Below are 6213 nucleotides of genomic sequence, written 5' to 3' on the forward strand. Positions count from 1 at the left end.
GAAAATACTAAAAGAAGAAACCTTCAGGTTTACTTCAGTTATGAATAGCAAGGCCAAAATTCTAAGCTGACGACTAACCAATGGCATTCGTTCACATATTTGAGGAATAACAGTCTGTGTCTAAGTTTTCCTCAGGAATGAATTGCTGATATATTAAAAATAAGTCCATTGGTAGACTATCTATAATAAACTAGCCAAAGGGCAAATAATACAAATTAATTTCTAAAACTATCAAAGGGGCATTCATTAAACTTCAACATATGTTCTCATAAAAACCGTATTAAATGATCAATGAGGATGACAAGAAATATCTAATAAAATTCATCTGTGGGCACCTGTGATGGTGAAATTATTGAAGCATTGCTTTTAAAATCAGATGCAAGGAAGGGTGCCTATTATGATTTACCATCTTTCTGGAAGTTCTAGTAATTACTCTAAGATATGGAGATAGAAATAAAGAATACAGCAATTGCTAAGTAAGGGAAAGTGAATTGCCTGAGAAAGAAAAAGCCTGATTTTTCTTGTATGAGTTGCCTTATTGTTTTCAATGGCTTGATCCCTTGAGCCATATTTGGTATTATATTCAAATATGGTGCCTCATGCTGGGATAGGAAGCTAATCCTAGCCCTTCCTCATCACTGGGAAAGTGGTCAAGGAAAAGCAAATGGTGTCAAATTCCTCTTTACCCATAGTCGTGGCATGAATTGTGTTTCTCCTTAATTCATATTTTGAGATCTCAATGCTCAGAACGTCAGAATGTCACTGTATTTGGAAATAGGGCCTTTACAGAGGTGACTAAGTTAAAATGTGATGGTTAGGGTGGGCCTCAATCTAATATGACTGGTGTCCTTATAAGAAGAAGAGATTAGGATACAAAGGGAAGACAATGTAAAGATATAGGGAAGGTATAGGGGGAAGACCATGGGAAGATACAGGGAAAAGATATAAGAAAAAGCCAAGGAGGGTAGCTTCAGAAGAAACAAAACCTGCCAGTGCCTTGGTCTCAGACTCCCAGCCTCCAGAACTGCAGGAGACATATGTTTTTGTTGTTTAAGCCGCCCAGTCTGGTACTTTGTCATGGCAGCCCCGGCTGAGTGGTGTACCCTATTTTCTCACGGTGTTCTTATGTTCTAGTTGGTGTCCAGTGGTCTTGGCGCTATCTGCATAGCTTCTGGTGGCAGTGCCGATGCTTTATGACCCAGTTTGGTGCACGGATATCCAGCGGCACTGAGCTAGTGAGACCTCACGAATCTCAGTGACCATGGACCAGTTTGCCGTGTCTGATGTAGAACTGCTGTTATAAACCTATTAAATGGTGTAGATGCTATCTGGCTGAGACCACAACAGGGATTCCAATGAGGTGGAAGAATCAGGCTTTTTCTTTCTAAACTCACACCAACATCTGTGCTTCAGAAGTCTCTCTCAGAGCATTCATCCCCGCTGACTCATACGCTGTGGCAGGCATCGGACACCTACAGTGCAGTGGGTTCTTTTCCAAAAGTCCATGTGACTTCGTCACGTGAAACAGTGTCTTGTCAAATGCCAGATGCTGCAACTCCCCTGATCCCATAAAGGGGGTTTTGTTCGCATCTCAAGCAGCCCGGCCCTTCTTGCATTTCTTGAAGAGCTCTGGGACAGTGCACCAGTGGTGCCAGAAGAAAGCACATCACAGGTCTGACTGTGGCACTGAGAACTCCTCCTAAAACGAGAGGCAATATTGTTCTAACAAGGAGCACATGGAGGATGCAGATGCCTTAGCCAAAAATCTGGGAAAGTTGAGAAAGAGGAAAATACCAATATTGCCAAATCCTTCTGAGCTACAAGTTAGAAAACATGTTTTATTCAGCATTGGTCTGCATTTTGGTAATTCGATAATAATAGCATTGCCCCACTGAAGAACTAAGAATTGCATAGAACTAAAACATAAGTGAATTCACAAGAGGATCCCACTCTTGAACACATTCAACAGAAGGAATGCCCTCATTTGCCTGGAGAGCTTAAGTGTCACTCTTACACTGCAGTAATGCAAAACAAACCCAATGACGAATTGCCACATTTTAGCTGGGTAGGAGAAAATGTGCTGTAGCAAGAAGCAGATTGAGAGTGATGTTCTTGTTCATACAGTGTCACATATAATTAGTTCATCATGAGGGCTCTGAGCCATGCACCAAATATACACAATGATGAGTTCTTTCACATCTCTTTTCTTTTTTTTGAGACAGAGTCTGGCTCTGTTGCCCAGGCTGGAATGCAGTGGTGCGATCTTGGCTCACGGCAACCTCTGCCTCCCAGGTTCAAGCGATTCTCCTGCCTCAGCCTCCCAAGTAGCTGGTACTACAGGCATGTGCCACCACACCCAGATAATATTTTTGTATTTTTAGTAGAGACAGGGTTTCACCTTGTTGGCCAGGCTGATCTCGAACACCTGACCTCCCGATCCACCTGCCTTGGCCTCTCAAAGTGCTGGGATTATAGGTATGAGCCACTCCACCAGGCCTCACATCTCTTTTCATTTGATTAGATTTGTATAGCCTCAAATCCTTATGAGTGTCCTTCCCTGTGAAATGTTCTTATGGGAGAAACTATTAGCTGCGTGCCGTTCCTGGAAAAATTCTGATGACGACAACAAGAAACAACAAAAGCTATGCAGCTTCTTTCTCTCCTGTCTTCTCTGTGCAGGAACATGGAGGCAGTCCCTGTAGATCAGAATGGTGAAAAGGAATGCACATAACTTCCTATAGTGCAAAGCCAAATCTTTGGATATTCAGCAATAACAACGGTGTTCACTGAAAGACAGTGGAGGAAGGGGTGTATCAGAGACCTAGGTTTGCATTTTCCAAACTCTACCCAGTATCTGCCTCTCTTTCACTCAATTCCCTGATGCTGAATTCTGAAAATTTCCCCTAGTAGCCATCTAACATTGGCTTAAAATGAATTTAACATATTCTTTAAAAAAAATATTCTTGGCCGGGCACAGTGACTCACGCCTGTAATCCCACCACTTTCTGAGGCCGAGGCGGGCGAATCACGAGGTCAGGAGATCGAGACCATCCTGGGTAATATGGTGAAACCCTGTCTCTATTAAAAATACAAAAAATTAGCCGGGAATGGTGGCGGGCACCTGTAGTCTCAGCTACTCGGGAGGGGAGGCTGAGGCAGGAGAATGGTGTGAACCCGGCAGGTGGAGATTGCAGTGAGCCAGAATTACACCACTGCACTCCAGCCTGGGCGACAGAGCGAGACTCTGTCTCAAAAATAAATAAATAAATAAATAAATAAATAAAAATTAAAAAATCTTTAAACATCTCTGAATATTCCAGATGTTTTTCTTTTTATATTTACTCTTTTTTTTCTATTACAAAAGGAAACCAAGTTCATTTTAAAAATGAGAAAATGCAGGGCACAGTGGCTCACGCCTGTAATCCCAGAACTTTGGGAGGCCAAGGTGAGCAGATCACCTGAGGTTGGGAGTTTGAGACCAGCCTGACCAACAGGGAGAAGCCCCGTCTCTCCTAAAAATACAGAATTAGCTGGGCGTGGTGGCACATGCCTGTAATCCCAGCTACTTGGGAGGCTGAGGCAGGAGAATCACTTGAACCCAGGAAGCAGAGTTGTGGTGAGCCAAGATCGTGCCATTGCACTCCAGCCTGGGCAATGAGAGTAAAACTCCATCTCAAAAAAATAAAATAAAATAAATAAATAAAAATAAAAATGAGAACAATACAGGAAAGCAAAAGAACAACCAAATCTCCCACACTCCCACCCACCTTAGGACAACCCTCAGCCTCACCTTGGAATATTATGTCCTTAGATGCCTTCCTTATACAAATTAAACTATACTATTTGTCTGAGAAATTGTCTCAGAAAATCTACTGATGAGCATTATTTATTCTACCTTTTCACTACTTAAATTTCAACAGAGCAACAGAACAGAATAGCAAGTAAAAATTTAAACACATTTATGACCATTAAAAAAGTTTCTGAGAAACTGGCAAAACTTCTTAGAGGTAGATCAAGGTTTGCAAAACTACTCCCCAGGATGCATCCAAAATGACCTAGTTATTAAATGTTTGGTTTTTGACCTAGACATCGTTTGGCCAAATTGTCTTGTTTTTCAACCTGAATGTAGGCCAGTCTACCTTTGGCCAATGTAATGCTGCCAAAATTGTGTGTGACAAGTCTAAGAGACTTTCTTCATTTTTTATCTCAGTATTCTTTCTCTAGAACTCAATATCCATCCCTGATCTCATATTGTATCTTCTCCCGTGGCCCTGTTTAAACACCCTCTGGTTCTCCATCTGGCTCTCTGCCTAAATTTCTGGCAGTTTCTTCAAAGTTCATCCTCCTGAAAAGTCCAAGATGTACTGGGGAGGAAACTGGATATATGTAAAGTGCATAGTACCTAGTAAATATCTGCCCAACAAAAGTGGTATCTACTCTTATTTTTGCAGCCTTTTATCCAATAACAAGTATAGCATGCATGGTTTAAGTCTCTTTTAGTCTTCATAAAAATTATGCATGAGTTAGTTTCCTTTCCCCCATGTAAGAGTTGAAAGCACCAAGATGCTGAGAATGTATGTGATTTGCATAAATGTGGAGGCAGATTTTAAACAGAGGTCTAACTATTAATTATTTTCTGCACAGAGCTAGATGCAATATGTGGACATGAGAACTGGCTTTGTTTGAAGTTGAAGGAAACTTTAAAACTTAAAAAACTGAGCACAAAACTAAAAACTTGCTGAGTTTTCAAATTCTGTTATGGCAAATTCTTTCACAAACCTTAAATTTGGGAATGTAAATAACATTCTTCCAGGCAATGCAGAGCTATTATTTAAAATTAAAAAAAACAGACTCCTTGAGCAACAGCTTTGTGAACTTGGTTGGCACTACAGCATGCGTTTTGCAGAGTCAACACAAAATTATTTATGGGAGGTCCTGTTGCTTAATGTGACTCATGTGTGTTTGATTGTGTTTCACAGAACATGGAGAAAGCGCTGCCATTAGGATGGGAGGTCAACATGGCTCTGCTGGATGCCAGTGGCTTTGGATCTGATCTGACAGAGCTGTAATCAATACTCAGCATTTCCTCCATGCAGTTACTCCGATCATTTACATATTGCCTTACTCCTCATGGCAAACCTACACATTCTTGTGATTTTACAGATGAAAAGACTGAGGCATGGAAGGGATGAAGAGCCTGTCCAGGACCAGCAGTTAATCACAGGAGAACTGGGAGCTGAGCCCAGGCTGCCTGGCTTGCAGCTGCCCTGGGCCTGCCTCTCTGTGCTGCAGGGCTGTCAGATCCAATGCCCTTGGCATCTGTAGAGAAAAGCAATCCACACAATTCTTATACATAAAATAAAAACCATTTTGGCTACTAAAAAATATACTGTATTCATTCCACGATCACGTGAATTCATTGGTCAGTCCCAACTATCCTCTTCCAATGTCACAGTAGGTGGGCAGGAGGATGGCGCAGTGGTCAGAGCTGTGTCACCTTGCTGGCCTGCACCCCTGTCACTGCACGTTCCCACCATGTACCTTATGTGTCTCCCTCCCCCCACCCAACATGGGAACCCACTCCCACATCCCAGAGCAGAGTCTTCACCATGTTTGAATCTGATCAGACAACACTGGGCAGTGTCCCTGTCGTTCAGGGAAAGAAATGGAAACCTACCCAGGAAGGTGGGAGGAACACATGGAGGAGACAGCAGTCTGGGTCTGGAATGCTGGTGGGATTTCTATGTGATAGGAGTGAGTGAGGAGATATCTATTTTAGGAAAGAGGAAATATCTCATGAGAACAAATGCAGACAGGCCAACCTGGGCACAGACAGGAGTGGTCAAGGGAGCCCAGGAAGGGCAGGGAAGGAGCAGGAGAACAGGGAGGCCTGGGAGTGGTGGTTTGCAGCCTGAGTGTCCTCTGCATCCTGTCTTCTCCAGGCCCATAGCCCACCTTCTATGAGCTTCCTTCCAGGTTCTGTTATGGAGAGACCCTCAACTGCCCAACTCCCTTCTAAAGGGTGATGAGTGGAGAGCACGTACTGGGTTCAACCTGCGGGCTTCAAGACCATGGGATAGTGCATGCGTGAGTGTGTGTACATGCGTGTGTGTGTCTGCATGCGTGTGTGTGTGTGTGTGTGCATGGGTGCGTGTGTGTGCATGCGTGCATGTGTGCATGTGTGTGTGTGTGCATGTTTTGAGTGTGTGCCTG

General features: G+C 43.1%; 1 annotated feature.

Moving 5' to 3' along the window:
- Nucleotides 3413-3582: an enhancer, noted in NCBI's record as "experimental_12892 CRE fragment used in MPRA reporter constructs". NCBI's record gives its function as "activates a minimal promoter by MPRAs in K562 erythroleukemia cells, with activity observed for the non-introgressed 10:44677919 variant allele {active_cell/tissue: K562}" and the evidence as "EXISTENCE:reporter gene assay evidence [ECO:0000049][PMID:34662402]".

Source organism: Homo sapiens, chromosome 10 (genome assembly GCF_000001405.40).
Source record: "Homo sapiens chromosome 10, GRCh38.p14 Primary Assembly".
In the NCBI taxonomy this organism is placed as follows: Eukaryota; Metazoa; Chordata; class Mammalia; order Primates; family Hominidae; genus Homo; species Homo sapiens.